At 44.3% G+C, this 19089-nt stretch overlaps 1 long non-coding RNA gene across 6 annotated transcripts in view, besides 1 other annotated feature; it reads right to left on the reverse strand.

Moving 5' to 3' along the window:
• The window catches only part of LGALSL-DT (LGALSL divergent transcript), a 63923-nt gene that overhangs the window by 9038 nt on the left and 35796 nt on the right, over positions 1 to 19089 (reverse strand). Inside the window, exons 1-2 of one of the 6 annotated variants that reach the window (XR_001739493.3) lie at positions 1491 to 8586; positions 520 to 1318 (exon numbers count right to left, since the gene is read on the reverse strand). The exons of 2 other annotated variants lie outside the window; for them this stretch is intronic. This is a non-coding gene — a long non-coding RNA (LGALSL divergent transcript). Of the gene's footprint in view, positions 1 to 519; positions 8587 to 19089 lie in introns of those variants that run through there. 3 more of the 6 variants (XR_001739492.3, XR_001739491.3, XR_940167.4) reach the window with 3 other exon arrangements.
• Positions 4190 to 4699: an enhancer, noted in NCBI's record as "H3K27ac-H3K4me1 hESC enhancer chr2:64631317-64631826 (GRCh37/hg19 assembly coordinates)". NCBI's record gives its function as "activates a minimal SCP1, AML or CMV promoter by ChIP-STARR-seq in naive H9 embryonic stem cells {active_cell/tissue: H9 hESC(naive)}" and the evidence as "EXISTENCE:reporter gene assay evidence [ECO:0000049][PMID:30033119]".

Here is a 19089-nt window from a genome sequence, read left to right on the forward strand (position 1 = left end):
AAGCATCCTGGTAACCTGGACTTCTTGGGCTCATCACAGGGAAATGACCCTGGGAAAGAGAGAAAGCCATTCTTGCCAGAGGGGAGATGAGGCTAGAGCCAAACTCACAGGACACATAAAAGAGATGCAGCCTCACTTCATCTCTCAATTTTGCAAAGAATTCACCGTTTTAATGAATTAGAGCAATTCAAGGTCACCCTATAATAACAATGCTCTTACTTACATGCATTCTTTCTTTCCTCCTAAGCTAGAGAGGAAGAGGTGAAGTTAGGGTTTGGGAGCTGGGAATTGCAAACAAATTTGACAGTTGTGGCCAAATCTCGCAATGTGCATAGGGGTGAGTCATGTAGGTAAAGGTCATGTGAGTTACATTAAAATACAAGTTGAAAATGATTGGTTTTATAGGTTTTTATCAGAGATTTAATGTTTATTAAATGTATGAATGTTTCCCTGTCCCTTATAGTGTAAGATCTCCAGAATTCTCCCACAGTGGCCATTAACACTGCTGTGGGTTCTTACCTCTCTTTAGCTTGTCCCTGGCATTCACCCTGTAATGTGACACCAGGTTCTGAGGCCTCCAGAGATGACAGACTGCAGAACATTCAAAGAAAAAGTAAAACACAGACCCTGCCTCTCTTTGCATCCCGTCTCTTGGAGTTTCCTGGAGTCAGTCCTCCATCTTCCTACAAGGTGGTGTCTGTTTCTTTCTCTCACTCTGGATTAATGTTTGCGTTTTCCTTCACCAAAGCCCCAAGGGGAGACATAGCACCTTGCCCAGGGTCTGAGCCCTATTTACAGAAAGCTGTTTTCGCTTTCCTGACATTTTTCACAGTCTCTTATGCATCCTCAGCCTGGGCCTTGTACAAATACTAGCTGATAAACATCTGATGCCAGTCTTTGAAATGGTCCAAGGCCACCTGGGTCCTGCTACCACTTCCTGGGGTTGATCCCAGGATTAGGGCTGAGCAACAGCCCCTCCCGGCCACCTGATCTGGGCAGGGCCCTGCTAGGAAGGGGAGGTCTGGCTCTGGCTATTGAAGGCTGACTCAGGGCAGCCAAGCCAGGATTCCAGCTCCCACAGCATGAGGAGTCCTCTCCTCTCCCCTCTGCTCTCTTGCCAGGATGATACACCCCTGTCTCCCACTGTCAGCGCTCACCTGCATGGGAAGCACTCGCTGGGTCACGAGACTATTTTCCCATTTCCTTCAGCACCAGTGGCTGTGGTGACTTGAGGTCATTTAGAGACCTGCCAGCTCAGTCTCCTCTGTCCTTCTTGCTCTCTTGCTGCCTCTGGGAAGGGCTGAGCTATTCCTGACACCTGGAGTAGGACAACAGCACGAGGAATCCACGCAGAGCTGAATATAAGCAAGCTGGGCTCCTCATGCATGACAAAATGCAAGCTCATGAACCCTCTACGTGCCTGGAAAGGCCACTGTCCCCAGGATGTCTCCATATTCTCCATTTGGGGGTGGGGAGGCTTATGTTCTCACCTCTGGCTCCTAGTTTCTGCTTCCACTGAGTTCTTTCAGTTTGAGTCACTTTGCCATCCCGTGTACACTGTCCTGGGTCTGCACTCAGATGTGGAACTCAGACCTTTGCCTTGATTTCCACAGAAAACAAACCAAACACCCGTCTAAGACTTCTGTTTAGGCAGCAGACTCTGTCAAGGGCTGCTCAGCCAAGAGGATTTACACTGCAGCAGAACAAACAACTTCAAGTGGGGTTTTTGATCTTTAATGATCCTCTTTGAGGCCACTCCCAGCTCCAGAGATTTCCCAGGGATCAGACCATGCCCTGTTGCTAACGAAGCTCATGTTTTCACAGGTTGATGAACGGCCTATACTGGAACAACTACTGGGGGGCTTGGGGGGTCTGCTCTGTGTGTGTGTGTGTGTGTGTGTGTATAAGAGAAGGAGATGGTGGGTTTTATTTGTTGGCTTGTTTCTACTTTGTTTTGTTTGGAGACTTGGTTGTAAGTGAACCTTTACATTTGGAGATAGGTGTCCTGCTCTTTGCAGTGCCCACTCACCAGAGTAACCTCTTAGACCCCATCCACAAAATCCAAAGAGTTGAAAAGAACACAAATGCTGTCCAGCTCAGGAGTCTTCAAGTATTTTGCTTGCATTGCATGTCCCCTAAAATAATGTTGGAACATTATATATCCCCTTTGACAGTTTTTTTTTCCTCCTCTACTCTGAAGGGATGCCTTAAAATTTTTGTGTTGGTATTTTAAATCTCATTTTGAGTTTAAATAGCTGAAAAATGTTACATTTTACTGTAAATTTGAAATCTTTTAACATTTTAACAGTTAAACATTTTGGAATAACTATAAGCCACTATTTAAATGTATCAAAATAGAATTGGAATGTTTTAGCAATTTAATATGTTCCATTTTTTTAAAAAAAATCACGAACAAGCTCTTCTTTAACAGTCAGAAATTTTACATTATTCCTTTTTTCTCCTTGAGTTTGTATTTCCACTCCTCTTTCCCTAAAGAACTTTATCCTGATATAATATACATTTATGATCAAAGTCATTTATTAATCGCCTTATCATTTCTCTTAAAATGTATACAAATTCAATTTTTTTTCCTTTTCTGTGACCATAAAGCTCTAAAGCTACGTTGTCCAATACTGATATTATGGAACACTCATTAGTTTCTCCTTCATCTTTGTTAAAATAATTGGATAGTGTTAGATTTGTAAAAGGATTAATAATCTAATTATTAGCATAATTCACTCCTTCAGCTCAAATCAATACTTTAACATTATCTCTTTGGACCCTCCACCAGCAATGAATAAGAGTTCCTATAGCAGCAAAGATGATCCACCCTTCTTGGGGAGGCTTGTGTAGAAGGTGGCTTTAAAAAACATTCATTTTCCCCATTTCCTCCTCCCTAATATGGGTTTTGCATCTGGGCTTCCAGGGTATCCCAGATTCATAACCTACTTCCTGAGATGTGGGGGTTCCTTTGGCTCTGGAGTGGGGGCCAAGGTGAGAGAGGTTCTAAAGTCAAAACTGTTGTGAAATGCCACAAAGCCACTGGGGACAGCTGTGAGTTGAGGTTCTGGAAAGGAGAATGAGTCACTGCAGTTATTGTTAGTCTGTGTATCCACTTCGGTCTCATTTGGAAAATGTGGAATGACTTGCCCCCCCTCAATAAGGCCCCTCACATTACCAACCATGATTCTTGGGCTCTCAATGCAATAGAAATTCACACAAGGCCCAAAGAGTTTTTCCAAACAAGGCTTCACTGGAGCTTATGCCTGGACATAAAAGAGGCAGCGAGAGAGAGAGAGAGAGAGACAGAGACAGAGACAGAGAGAGAATTCCCTGACTTACTCCCCCAAAAGAGCCCTGCTTTTTTATTAGGCAAAGCGCAGGAATTAACATGGGGCATGAGGTATACAGGGTGGGCTGGGCAAAGCACCTGAGGGTAGGGGATGAGGGTCAGCATATCTGGTTGCCACGGTTATCTTGAGTAATGGACCACCTGATGCTCTGGTCAGTGGCAACAAGGCGGTAACTCAATTGTTAGCATTCCTTCCCGAAGTGGGACACTTCACAACCTTGTTATCTCCAAAGGCCAGTGCCTGAAATTTGTAAAGTAAAAGGCATGGTTGCACATTATGGTATCAGCGAGGCAGTAGTGTGGGTTTTGTGATCACTAAGAATGCTCCAGCAGGGGTGAGCTGAAGCCGAGCCGCCATCTCCACTGTCTCATTTGGTCCTCCCTTAGAGCTCTCCCTCCCCGAGTTCACCTGCCTGATCAGCCAGAGCAGATTTCCTGCACATCTAGGTTCTTTACACCCTCTAGCCTACAAAGCACGAAGAGGCCCCTATTGGCCCTCTGGCTCTAATGGACTGAGAAGGAGCTTAGCAGGAGAAAAAGTGAGTTTCCCAGCCCCATCCTAGGAGAGAGTCTAGAAGGCTTGTTCTTCCTCAGAAATGTGAACAGTAGAGATGATTTTTCTATCTCATTATTCCAAAGAATTCTCAGGCAGTGACCATGAATAGCTTATAATTCTCTGTCTTTAAAAACGAAAACACACACCCCTGGGAATAATTGCGCCCACAGGAAGTAGGCTGGCCCGAGTGCACACAGCCAGGAAGAATAAGAACCCTCCATGTTTACTTCAGAGCAAGGTTTTTAGCAGGGAAAATGTTGCTAGGTTGTGTCTACTCCCTCCAGTGCCCTCTTCCCTCCTCCCTCCCCACAAATCCCCCACTTCCGTCACATATTGGCAGGAACTTGCTGTTCCTTGGCCAGCTGGGAGGCCTGCCAGAGCCCTTCCATTTTCCGGAGGGCTTCTCTTCTATTTCTAAACAGAGTTGTTTGAAACCGGATGCTACACAGAGCCAATCTCCTCACCCTTCAAACCCCCTCCCTGACCCCTGACCCTGTGAAGCAGGCCCCTCCTCCCTTTATTGTTCTTGACTCTGGGCCTGTCCCTGTAACCAAAGCCAATGAGTTGGGGGCAGGGGCCGGCACAGGCTGCAGGCCAAGGGGGAAAGCTGCCAGAGGAAATTTCACAGGGTAAAGAGGCTCCCAGAAGAGCCACGTTGTCCCTCAGCCCCTCCCATTTCCCTCTCCCTCTGCCCTGCTGTCCTGGAGGGCACAAGAATGAGACCAGCCCATCGAGGAAGTCCCTCACTTGAGCAGGGCCAGACTTAGGCCATCACAGAACACAGGGAGAGATTTCTAGTTGGAAAAACAACCAAAGGACTGTCTATGCCCTTCATTCATTTAGCTGTAATAGATGGCTCTTTTAACAGGTGTCCATTCATTCATACTGTCACTCATTCATTTTCTATTCAACAAGGTGAGGTAGGAGGTGGCACTCAACTCCAGAGGCATGGCTTGGACACTTGGACACGGGACCAGATTGAGGACTAGCTAAAACGGCCCCAGAGAAAGCCGCTTTCAATCAGACACGCCCACTAGTGTGCCGGGTCAATTCACCGTTGCCATAGCAACATGTGGGCGTTACCACCCTTTTCCATGGCAATGACCCAATGACCCAAAAGTTACTATCCCTTCCCTAGAAATTGCTGCATAAACTGTTCCTTTATCTGCATGCAATTAAAGTGCGTGTAAATATGACTGCAGAATGGCCCTGAACGGCTACTCTCTCCCTACACAGTAGTCCTGCTCTACAGGAGCAGTCATGGAACTGTAACACCTCTTGAACCCGGGAGGCGGAGGTTGCAGTGAGCTGAGATTGCACCACTGCACTCCAGCCTGGGCAACAGAGCGAGACTCCATCTCAAATAATAATAATAATAGTAAAATAATGATAATAATAATAAAGCTGTTTTCTTCTGTCTCCAGCTTGCCCTTGAATTCTTCACTGGGCAAAGCCAAGAACCCAGTGGGCTAAGCTCCACTTTGGAGCTTGCCTGCCCTGCGTCAAAGGCATCCACTGTACCTGCTATTGTTCATCACAGCCATTGGGCTATGACAGTAGATAAAACAGGCCAAAATACCTGCCCTCCTGGGTTTTGTACCGATGGATGTTAGAAATTTCATACAAGGGAAGAAGGAATAGGAAGTCCTTGGAAATATGATAATAAAGAGAGTAGTCAATGACAATAGCCGTTGACCCTGTTGCAATCTTAAAGGGATATGCCGGGTCACCAGGCCCGAAGCCAGATCTGACAGTCAGGAAGACCAGAAACCAGCCAAGAGTCTAATGGCTAACAGAAGTGGCAAATCAGAAACATGGCTTTGGATTTCCTGCTGCAACAGATGTGTAGAGGGGAAGCAGATGGGCTCTGCTCAGGTTTGGGAGGCAGGGCATTCTGGAGGTTTCCCTCAGGCTGGCCTCCATGCCTGCTGCCACTGTCTTGGCTGCACCATCATAACCACACATCATCCACAGCAACGGGGGAGGACCCAAAAACAAACAACCTTGGCCTTCCTCAAGAGCTGTGGTGATGTTCAAGTCATTGCAAAAAAATTTCATTTTCCTCAGTGAACTAGTCCTCACGTGTGGGGGAGGCTTTGTCACTGGTCCTGATTATTGCTTCTTGGGCAATACCTCCAACATTTTGCTTTCAGTTTCTCTGCTTCCAGCGTATCTGTCCCATGCTAGCGATCTATAATTCATTCAAACATACACTAGGTAGCAACCATGTGTCAGGCCCTGCACAGGGTGCTGAAAATGCCCTTCTGGAGGAGAGAGACACGAGTGGTGCCTTGAGGGCTGTCATGAGAGAGGCAGGCATGCCATGAACAGCACACACCTGGGCTGAGCTCTTGTGGAGGGATAGTGAGCCAGGAGCTCTGCGGGCAGCCGGGAAGGAGGGCACTCCTGACTCAGCCTTGGGTCCTTGAGAATTCGCTTGGCATTTTTTGGTAGGTTGCACTGTGCTAGGCACTGCCATTTCAAGAAGGCATAGCTTAGCTCAGAAGGGACAGTGAACGTTCATTTGAGATGAATGAATAGAACTTTCCAAGGCAGGCAGGCAACTATGGAGAAGAAGTGGGGGAGGCGTGCAGTCAGAGTGAGCAGCCTCTGTAGAGCTGAGAGCTGGGAAAGGGCAGGGTTCATGGGAAGGCCAGGGAGTGGTGCTCATGATGGGAGCCTGAGGGTGGGGGAAGGGAGGTGGCTGATTGGAGGGAAGCTTGGTGCTGGAGGGTGGAGAGGACAGAGGGCATGGAGGCCATGCCAAGGAAAGTTTGGACTTTATCCTATAGTAAGCAAGAAGGAACTATGGAAGGCTTTTAAGGCTGGGCATGATATGATCAGATCTGGGAGCTACAGACACACATATACACATATAGATAGCTATAAGAGAAATTCAAACATCTAAATAGTCTCTCTCTATATACTTTAAGTACACATATATGCGTATATTTCACCCATACAAACCTAGATCAGTTATTGTGCTTTTCTTCCTCTATCACTTCTCCCCTGTACAGTCAGGGGAGTCAGAGGCCTATACATTGCCCAGGAGAATTATGATTCTCTTAGCAGAAATATAAAGAGAACACAGGCAACAAAAACAAAAACAAAAATAGACAAATGGGACTTAATTAAACTAAAAGGCTTCCGCACAGCAAAAGAAATAATTAACATACTGAAGAGACAATCTGTAGATGAGAGAAAATATTTGCAAGCCATTCATCTGACAGGGAACTAATATCTAGAATATGCAAGGAACTAAAACAACTCAAGAGGAAAAAGAAAAAACAATCCCATTAAAAAGTAGGCAAAGAATGTGAATAGATATTTCTCAAAAGGAGACATACGAATGACCAACAGGTATATGAAAAAATGCTCACTATCACTAATCATCAGAAAAATGCAAATCAAAACCACAATGAGATATCATCTTACCATAGTCAGAATGGCTATCATTAAAAAGACAGCAAATAACAGATCTTGGCAAGGATGCAGAGAAAAGAGAACTCTTATACACTATGGTGGCAATGTAAACTAGTACAGCCACTATAAGAAACAGTATGGAGACTTCTCAAAAAACTAAAAATAGAACTACCATTCAATCCAGCAATCCCATTACTGGGTATCTACCCAAAGGAAAAGAAATCAATATATCAAAGGAATACCTGCACTCCCACGTTTACTGCAGCACTATTCACAATAGCAATGATATGGAATCAACCCAAGTGTCCATCAACAGATGAACGGATAAAGAAAATGTGTCATATATACACAATGAAATACTATTTGGCCATGAAGAAAAGTGGGTTAAAGGGTACAAATATGTAATAAGACAGAAGGAATAAATTAAATGCATGATAACAGAGTAGGGTGATTATAGTTGACAAAAATGTATTGTACTCAGATGATGGACGCAATAAATTCTCTGACTTGATCACTACACATTAAATACATGTAACAAAGTTTCACACGTGCCCCATAAACTTGTATAAATAAAAAAATAAAAATGATAGTTAATATTCAGTTGGGTTTACCTCTTACTTCCAAATGATGCTTTTGAGAACCAACAGGCAAAGGTCTAGGGAAATAAAGAGGTCTCAGAAGAGAACATCGGGAGAGGGATGGGCAGGTGACTTTCACCTTCTCCCTGCCACAGGGGTCACTCCTTCTCCTCCACCATGGGGGTGGGGATGGTGCAGATGGAGGCCTGGCCATAGGGAGGAGGGGTCTGCATGAGAGGCTGCCAGCTCTCTGGGCGTTGAGTACCAGGGAACTGTGCAAAAATGATGCCCACATATGCAGCCCATTTCTCATCTTTTCCGCAGCAGATCTGACATCTGAGCAGATGCTGTTCGCATCTCTATGGGATAAATCTGCCCATCAATAGTTGGCTGGGCACTACTGGTAGTCACATTGCAGAGGGAGGCCCAGTGGGTCCTGAGACTGCTAAGTCCCATCCAAACTGCCTGTGTCAATAGTTTAGGACAACCCTTGTCCTCCTCCCCACAAAACAAGCAGAAGTCCCTGACATCCCACAGGAGGGGGAAAAGGAATGGTGGGGAAGAGGAAGCCATAAACATACTGCATATCATTATATTTTTTGAGGTGACTTTAAAAGTCTACCTGATATGGTTTGGCTGTATCCCCACTCAAATCTCACCTTGAGTTGTAATAATCCCCACATGTCAAGGGTGGGGCCAGGTGGAGACAATTGAATCATGGGGGCTGTTTCCCCCATACTCTTCTCGTGGTAGTGAATATGTCTCATGAGATCTGGTGGTTTTATAAATGAGAGTTCCCCTGCACAAGCTCTCTTGCCTGCTGCCATGTAAGACGTGTCTTTGCTCCTCATTTGCCTTCCACCGTGTTTGTGAGGCTTCCCCAGCCATGTGGAACTGTGAGTCAATTAAACCTCTTTCCTTTATAAATTACCCAGTCTCAGGTATGTCTTTATTAGCAGCATGAGAACAGACTAATACACTACCCAATGTAAGATTTTTTTTTTATTTGAAGAGAAACCAAGTTTAAGGAGAAAATTAAGAAGGGGTAGTAAAAAGATTAATATAGAAGGAAAGTTAGTATCCAGTGATTTACACTGATCTTATATAATTACCAAAAATAGAATATGAATTAGGCTCTGAGCTTCTTATGAAACAAAGCAAAAATGAGAATGTAAAAGTTACAAAAATGACAATGAACAAAAGACAAAAGAAAGCCAGTTCCTCAGTGAGCGCTTTCTTTTTCCTTGTTCTGGGGCTTGAGTGAATTTTTCCTCCAAATTCTCACACAAGGGAAGTCTCATAGATTCTCAGCAATCTATACAATGCTAAGTTCTCCACAGCTATTCCATAGGGTTCCTGGAGGTGATATTCCAAACCTCAACTTAGGACTAAGAGGTGGCAAAGGGAGAGAGGCCAAATACATCAACCCAGTAGTAGACTCACCTGATTTGGACTGGGAAATAAGATCTACGCTATCTAAGGGTAGACTGCATGTCTGGCAGGCAATCCTCCATAAATGTTTGCTAAAAGTTGGGTCACACATGGTTGGAAGACACATTATTTGGAAAGAACTCAGCTAGAGTAGAGTAACTTTCTATTACTGGTTAAAGGCAGATCAGTAATCTTCAAAATCAATTTTACACACATCCAAACAAATACTAGATAGTCATTAACAATTATTTTCTGTATCATAATTTTTATGACCTGATAATTGTCTGTAATATTACAGCTTTAAAAATCAGTAACAAAATAGGATCTACAGCATTAAACAGGGAAAAAAGAAGGATTTAAACATGGCAAATGTATACACACACACACACACACACACACACACACACAGAGAGAGAGAGAGAGAGAGATAAAGAATAGAAAGAATAAAAGAATATAAACTGTTAACTGTCTATTTCTAGGTGGTATAATTTGACTGCTTTGTGCTTACGCTAGTTTTGGGTTCTTCTCACTCCTGAAAGGAGAATTTGGGTGCAGCTGCTTGGGAGATAATTGCAGGAGGCACTAGAAGTGGGGTGAAGAAGTAGAAGAAAGAAAAGAAGATCAATATGGGATGTGCTGATGAATGGGTTACCACTGTTGGCAATTGGAGCTAAATCCCTCGAGGGAAACTCTGAGACACTCTGTGAAACACATCTCAGAACAGTCCCATCAAGGGTCAAGATAGCTGGTCAAGATATTTATCCAGCCACTCTCATCCTCCATTGTTAAGGATCACTTCTGGAAATGTTAACTCCCCAGCACTCCCGGCACTTTCAACCACCCTATGTGCAAGCCAAGAAAGCTCCTATAGCCAGAGAATGTCCTCAAGAAGGGGACAAAGGTGCTTGAGAAAGGAAGCCATCCATATATAACAGAACCATCCACAACTGCAGATGACTTCCAGGTGGGTTAAGGAATGTGGGCAGGTCACCAACAGTGTAGTTTTCATATTTTTTACATATATTACTTTTGGTGTCAGAAAAATTGTATTTATAAAAATTGACTTTTCAGAAGCTACATGTGCTGAGAGGCACAGGTTATGAGAATTAAGGACTTGACCATGACTCCCATATGAACAAAAGGATTCTGTCACTGTCCAAAGGCGGACTGGGGCAGCACTATAGAAGGAACAAACTTAGAGAATATTTCTGGGTCCAATCCAGAAAATAAACATATGAGAAGTCAAGGTCTCAAATCTTCACTCCATAGAATATTGATCACATTGATGTTGGCCTGAAATTCGTTCAGACTGGGAATTCAGTCTGAAATCTCAATCATGCATTCACAAAGTGTTTAAATTTGAGCATCACAGTTTCCAAGGAAAGATGGCTTTCACTTTCAAATTATAATTGCAAACTTCAAATGGGTGCCCAACACTGCCTGGTAGCATGACTATGTCTATTCTAAGTAAGCTCACTTTCCTCACTGTGGTGGCCGTGAGAATGCATCTTGCAGTGTATGTGTAATTAACCAAAGTCCCCAGCCACTGTACTGTGAAAGCCATCACTGTGTTGACTCTAAGGCCACCTTGCCACAGGCTGCTTGCAGCCAATGGCTGAGCTCAACAGGGATAACAAGTCAAGCTCATTCAGGGGAAACAGGGCACTCCTCTGACAGTGAACTCTGGCTCTGCATTAATCCTGCCAAACCTTCCCCAGATTTCATGGCAATCTAGGATGCTTCCATCCAACCTTCCTTTCTTTTCTCCTTCACTCAGGGTCAGACTTGCATCACTGTTGGACAGCTGTACCAGCCTCTTCTGACTCTCTCCTCACTTGTTCACACAGGTGGTTCCACTAATAAAATCTTTGCATGCTTATTTCCATCTTGACATTTGCTTCTTAAAGGACCTGGACCAATATACCACTTTATGAACCGGCTGTTTCCTGCCTTCTTCTCTTTTCTCAACAACTCCCTTCTCTCTCCCCCTCTCAGCTGATGACATGGCCTCCTGTTTCCTTGAGAAAATGGAAGGCATCAGATGAAGCCTAAGCCCACCAGCATCTCCTTCCTTCGTGCTAATATAGCAGAGAAGGTGTCCCCTCTCCAGGCAAAGCCCAGTCTTTCCAAGGGATCCTTTCCAAGGATCTCACCCCTTTCCCAAAAAGGAGATCTTCACTCCTTCAGGTCTCTCCTCCCTCTCCTGCAACACAATCTATTCCTTACTCTCTGTCGTCCTGGCTCCTCAACCTCTCCAGCTGTTTCCTCACTCCTCTGCTCCTCTCCAAAATCAAATGTCTAGTAAGAGATCCTTACACATTTTGTCTCCACTTAGTTACTTCTCATTCATTCCTAATTCACTTCATTTTAGCCTCAGCAACCACCACCCTGGTGCTCTTGTCAAGAATAGCATGGCCTCCACCTTGGTGAGTCCATGGGATATTCTCCTATCCTCATCCCACTCAACTGTTCAGCAGCATTTGGCACAGCTGACCATTTCCCTGTTCTTTAAGCCTGCTTCTATTTTGACAGACACCATAGACTCCTGGTTTTCTCCTACCTCACTGGTCACACCTTCTCAGTCTCCTTGCCTGACTCTTCCTCCTCTGCCAGAGATTTCAACATGGGTTTCTCCAAGATGTTCAGCTCTTTTCTCTGTCCCTTCTCCTCAATAAGCTCATTCACTCACTTGGCTTCCAATACCATGACATGGCACAGCTGTCAACTCTCTATCTCCAGCCCTTACATTTCCCCGATGTTCAGCCTTGTTTCCACCATCTGCCTACTCCATATCTCCACTCACATGCCTAATGGGCATCCCCAGTTTAACAGGTCAAGAGCTTTTGATTTCTTTTCCCAAATATGCTCCTCTCCAGCCTCCTCTTTTCAGTAACTGATACTACCATCCACCCAGTAGCATAAGCCAGAGATACCTGGGGGTCACCCTTGATTTCATCTTCTTCCCTACTCTTCATGTTTAATTCATCTGTCACTTCTTCCTCAGAAGTATATCTCAGGTCCACCTATATCTCTTCATCTCTGAGCATCTCTCTGCATCCTAATATTCTCTTCTTACAGGGAGACCAGTCATACTGCATTAGGGCCAACCCTGATATCCTCACTTACCTTTTTAAAGGCCCTATATCTCCAAATACAGTCACATTCTGAGGTACTGGGGGTTAGAACTTCAACATATAAATTTTAAGACCCATTACACTTGAACCACTACAAGTGTAAAGGGGATGTGAAAGCCTTGTAACTGATCTCCCCACTTCCATCTCATACATTCCCTCTCCTTACAGAATCAAGAGCAAATTTTTAAAAACACAAATCCTATCTTGGCACTCTTCTGTCTTGAACCCTTTAGTGCCTTCCTATTGCACTTAGAATAAAACCCGAAGTCTTGCCCTATAGCATCTTGCTTCAGTCTACCTTGTCAATGTCATCTCACATTCCTCTCCCCATCAGTCACCATGCTGTTATCACACTCAACTTCTTTCAGCACCTGGACCAGCCCAAGCCTTTTTACTGCTCAGAGGCTTTGAACACATGATTTGTTTGCCTGAAAGTTCCCTCCTGCTGCACGTAGCATCGCTGTCTCTTTCTCAATCTTCATGTCTCAGGTTAAGTATCCCCCACCCCTGCCGTTCTTTATGATAACAGCCTATACATGACCTACATAGCACTCATTGCATATACACAGCCATTCATCTCTTTGCCTGGTTATCTGTTTTCTATTTCTCCTTCTAGAATGTAGGCTTCATGAAGACAGGGACTTTGTCATCTTTTCACAGCAATATCACTGGCATCCAGAAGAGTGCCTGGAATACTATAGGTGCTCTGTAAATACTAGCTGAATGAAGGAATGGTCATGCCAGAATAAATTATGTGAAAAATGTACCCACAAGGAACTGAGAGTCAACCTGTTGCATAGTATTGTTGGATACATGTTAATTAAATTCCAAAGACTTCTGCCAAAATGACTACTGTGTTTTTAGAATAGTTGTTCTTGGGCCTTTCTTTCTGGTAATAGTTGAAGAGCAGCAGGATCAGTTTCCTGTTGAAATCACTTCTAGTTCTTCACCTAATTTCATCAGTAGAACACAGGACACCTCTGTAATCGTCTAGGGCAGGATCAACTGGCCACCATTAGAGTGCCATATTAGAGTGTCACAGACTTTGGCATCAACATATCCAGGTTGGCATCCCACTTCTGCCATCTATAAGCTGTGTAACTTGGCAAAGTCTAAACTCCCTAAGCCTCTTTGTCCTCATAGGTAGATTGGAGACATGAGTAAGTACCTCTCAGGAATGTTCTTAAATTAAATGGTATAATATATATAAAGTGCCTACCAGAGCTCCTGACATACAATGAATATTAATAAGTGATGACCATTATTATGAATCCAGGAAGCAATGATGCAAGACTTGAGGGCACAGTCACGGAGGCAAAGAAGAAGAGATAGTTTAATACATGATTATGAGATTGCACAGACAGAATTTATAATTATTTTGATTGGGTGTGAGAGATGAGGCAACATTAATTGAAGAGGACTTGAAATTTCTAGCTGGGTGATTAGATGTGCAGTCATGCCAACAACAAACACTTCCATGCAAAAGCAGCTGTGTAGAATAGTTCAATAATTTTGAGTTCAGATCACATACTACATGATTTTTAGCTCTGGCTGGCCTTAAAATGGGGTTCACCTGTATTTAAGAACTCCTTGTGAGACCTTCTCAGTTTCTGGTCAGAGGAAGGAAGATACCTCAGACTCCAAAGAAAGGCTGGAGGGTTTATCTTTTTGTGGATTAGTTTCCTTCATCACCTGCCTTTCCCTTCTAAATATGACGGAATCTTTTCATTTCCCTTGCACTGAAGGGAAACGCATCCTCTGGGGCTGGAGCCTGACTCTGGCAGTCCTTCTGAAGTTACAGATTTAGGCTCCAGCACTTCGAGGTCTCACTGTGCATCTGTAGGGGTCCTCTGGTGGCCAAGACTCTCAGACATGTGCAGACTAAAGCCAGGTGCTGAGAAAAACACAGAAAAGGCTGTCCCTGAGAGCTGGAAACCTATATCCCCTAAAAACAGGCTAGCAACCATGATGCACTCTCTTAAGTTTAGGGTGGGCGGGCACTAGTTTATGTTTAACTGGTTGCCAGAAGAAAAGGTGGAAGGGAGAGAAATCATCAGCAAAGCTTTCACAGAATAGAGATCCAATCAGCACCACCTTAGCGGCAGGGAGTGGAGCAGGAGGATGTAAATCACAATTGTTGCATCAAAAGTCAACCCTTCTTTTACCCTCCAGCCCCATCCCCAGTTGTGACTTTTTAAATTACAGCAAGGAGAGTTTATTGTAAATAAGTATTGAATGAATTAAATTACAGAAAGAAAAAAAAAACTGGGCATGCCTAATTATATACTCCAGAGACATGAATGCATATATTCATTTAGAGACATGTACAAGACTACTTAAAATAGCATTATTCTTAATAACTAAACACTAAAAACACCCCAAATATCTATCAGGAGTAGAACAGATAAACTGTGGTTTAGTCACGTGCAGAGGAATATTGCACAACAATGAAAAGGAAGAAGTCACACAGTAGAATGTGGCAGACACATCCTACAGTGACTGCCGACAAAACACACCCTTATAGCATCCAGTCCCTTTGATTACAGGCAGAGCCTGTGACTTGTTTCTAACAAATAAAATATGGCAAAGGTGATGGGATGTCACTTCCTTGATTAAGCGATGTTACATGTCACAAGTGATGGGAGCGTGATTATGCTACTTTATATAAGGCTCTGTAAACTAGAGAGAAAGAATCTCCCTTACTGACATGCAGTAAGCTGTCATGTTGAGAGAGAGCCTGTGAGAGAGCCATGTGGCCAGGAACTACAGCTGTCCTTTAAGAGTTGAAGGTGGCCTTTGGCCTAGTCAGCAAGAAACCGGGACCCGAGTCATACAACCACAAGGAGGTGAATTCTGCCGACAACCTGAACAAGCTTGGAAGCAGGTTCTTCCCCAAGCAACTCAACAGAACACAGCCCAGCCACCACCTTGATTGCTGCCTTAAAAGATCCTGAGCAGAGAATTTAGCTAAACTGTGCACTGACTCTTGACCCATAGAAAATGTGAGATAAGGAATGTGTGTTGGAGCTGGGTGCAGTGGCTCATGCCTGTAATCCCAGCACTTTGGGAGGCCGAGGCAGGGGGATTGCTGAGTCCAGGAGACCAGCCTGAGAAACATGGTGAAACCCTGTATACACAAAAAATACAAAAATTAGCCAGGCATGGTGGCATGTTACTGTAGTCCCAGCTACTAAGGAGCCTGAGGTGGGAGGATTGCTTGAGCCCAGGAGGTCGAGGCTGCAGTGAGCCATGTTCGCGCTACGGCACTCCAGCTTGGGCAAGTGGTAAGCCACTACCTATGTGGTCTTTGTAACACCTTGATAGGAAATGAATACAGAGGACATGTTGCATGATTCTGTTGCAATTGCAAAACAGGGGATTGTATTTTATTTTTTATTTTTTTTTCCATCTACTTCCCTTAGGGGTAAGGATTTACTTCTCTTAATGCATACATATGTTCTTCTTGCTTCCCGTCTCCCATCCTCTTAATATGATTATATTTGGCTATATCAGTCCTCAGGGTTGGTGTTATTATGACTCCATAACATGGGAAGTAACCTGGCTGTATTGTTCCTGGCGAGCCAAGTGTTGTGCAGTTATTAGGTGTCTGTGTGGGTTTCCTAGGTCTGCTATAACAAATTACCACAACTCTGGTGACTTAAAACAACACAAATGTGTTCTCTCACAGTTCTGAAGGCCAGAAGTCTGAAGTCAAGGTGTCAGCAGGGCCACACCCCCTCTTCCAGCTTCTGGTGGTCACAAAACTGTTTTTTTTTTTTTTAGGTAGGCTCATGGTATTTGCTAATTTAACCTTCATGAACTAGTCCTTCATGACTCAGAATGCTCGTGACATGGATGTCCTTTTGAAGGAGGCTGACTTGTAAATATTTCCCTCTGGAAGCTTGGTGCTCCAGAATGTCACTTAGCTGGTAAGTGAACCTGGCCAACTGCAGCTGCTATATCAACAAGGGGGCTTTATTGTTTTCCACTGACCTTGAGTCTGCATGTTCTTGAGTATTCACATGTTTGGGGATTCTGAAAGGTCTCCAGTTATCTTCTGGTCTCTTGAAGTCAATCACCCATTCAGGACCCTTCACTGCCCAATCTCCCGCTCCGAAGCCCCAGCAGGGTTCCTTCTCATGTCTTTGCTGGAGCTTCCTGCTGCCTCTGCTCCTAACACAACCTAGTCAGGCATACTCCCTATGGGACCCTCTGCTGACAGTCCAGCTTTGCCTTGTGCTCTCTTTAAGCAGGTACCAAGGAAGTGTTGCCGTTTCTCAGCCTCTTTTCATGACATTTGTTTTAGGATTTCCCTTCCCCTTCCTCTGAACAGTTAAAACCTTACCCTTTCATAGGGGGCCATGGGGGTTGGGGATGGTGAGAATAACTAATGAGATTTCAGCTCAGTTACCTGGACAGGTGTGGCCCTAGCCTTCCTGAATTCTAAATGAGGGATGAGAGGAGAGGGAAGAAATACAAGTTAACCCCACACCCCAGGCTGCTGCCATGGTCACAGTACTTCACCCTAGAGGTGTCTGCCCAAGTGTCTCAAACCACACAGCAGCCTCAGGGAAAGGATCTCAGCCCTGTGATCCCCATAGTCAACCCCAGTCTCTGTCCCAGCGTCAGAAACAGGCAGGTTACTGTGATGCCAATGAAGCTTAAGAACCTGGGTCCTCCTTGCCCTGGCTCCTCTATGGCCCTGGAAGGGCCCTAGCAATGGGTTCACATGACAATATAGATCTATTAATAGTATATATAATGTCTTAGTCAGCTTGGGCTGCCATAAAAAAGTACCGTAGACTGAGTGGGTCAAACAACAGACTTATTTCTCACAGTTCTGGAGGCTGAGAAGTCCAAGATGAAAGGTCGGGCAGATTCAGTTTCTGGTAAGGCCTCTTTTCCTGGCTTGCAGATGGCCACCTTATCACTGTGTCCTCACATAGTGGAGAGAGAGCATCTCTCATCCTTTTCTGATAAAGCTACTAACCCCACTGTGAGAGCACCACGCTCTTGACCTCATCTAACACTGATTACCTCCCAAAGGTCCCATCTCCAAATACCACCAAACTGGGGGGCTAGGGTGGGGGGACACAATTCAATCCATAGCTGTATATATATATAGTACACACAATATTCATTCCTCCTGCAATACAAATTATATGAAAATTGACATATAAAATATACATATAGAAAAAATATATTCATGTTACAGCAATAGGTTAAAGACCACCCCTTCTTTCCACTTTCCTTCCCCTTCCATCATGCTTCCCCTCAGGTCAGGCAGTCCTGGAGTGATCGTGGGCATCTCAGGGATCTGGTTAAGGAGAAGTGGAGTCAGGGATACATCTGGTGTCGGGTTACAGGGGTGTTTGCATCACTTCCATGTACAGGTCGGTAATGGCTAGCCACCCTGCTATAGAAATGGCTCTGACAACCCACTCTGCCAACTCACCAGTGTCCTGACATGGAGGCACACTGGTGTTGTGTATGAATGTGGCCTGTGGCAGCCAACACTAGAACTATGCAGGTAATGGAGAAAAAACAAGGATTAAAATGGACAAAGGCAAAAGCTAGTATATGGAAAAATTCTTCCAACTCTTACAACTCAGATACAAAAGAAGCTTGATTAAGGTTTTCCTAGATTTGATGACAATCCTTAAAATGTACAGGATATTACCAATAATGAGTTCTGAAGCTGAAACAACTCTTAATAACTATCAATAGCTTAGAAAAACAAATTTCAGACACATTAGAGCAAAGACTGAGTTATCATTCTATTCTCTCCAAAGAAAATGATAATTACAAAATTGTTGTCACATGAAGAGAAAAAGTGCATGCTGCCCAAAACTACAGGGAAAAAGTATTATCAAGGTGTTTTGGGCAACAAATTCATTAGAATACTGTTATTTTTCTGGATTCTGTATTGATGACACTTTTCATCAAGTATGTAGTTTATTGTTATTTCTTGCATTATTCTAAACAAACATCCAGTTTTGTATTTAAATTTTTGGGGGTGGGGGAGACGGAGTCTTGCTCTGTCACCCAGGCTGGAGTGTAGTGGTATGATCTCAGCTCACTGCAACCTCCACCTCCCAGGTTCAAGAGATTCTCATGCCTCAGCCTCCCAAGCAGCTGGGACTACAGGTGCATGCCAGGAAACCCGGCTAATTTTTGTATTTTTAGTAGAGAAGAGGTTTCACCATGTTGTCCAGGCTGGTCTCGAACTCCTGGCCTCAAGTGACCTGCCTACCTCAACCTCCCAAAGTGCTGGCATTACAGACATAAGTCACTGTACCCGGCCTTACATTTAATTTTTGATGGTAGTTTTGCATTATTTTTATTAAAGAGGGCCCCGCAAATTACATGAACTTCAGGCCCCACAAAATCAAGAGCCACCTTGATGGTGAGGCCACTCGCCTGACACTCTTCCTCATGCATTTCTCTGGGTCCCCTCGCCCATCCTCCCAGCATCTGCACAGGGATCGCCACAGGGTCCCTGCGTGGCTCCAGGCATTTGTGTCAGAGATAGTCTTCCAACCAGAGTGTGAGTGCAGGATGGAATGTTTGCACTTATTTTGTTCACCCTGCCCCAATTTTACGGATGAGGAAACT

This window comes from Homo sapiens, chromosome 2 (genome assembly GCF_000001405.40).
Source record: "Homo sapiens chromosome 2, GRCh38.p14 Primary Assembly".
Classification (NCBI taxonomy): domain Eukaryota; kingdom Metazoa; phylum Chordata; class Mammalia; order Primates; family Hominidae; genus Homo; species Homo sapiens.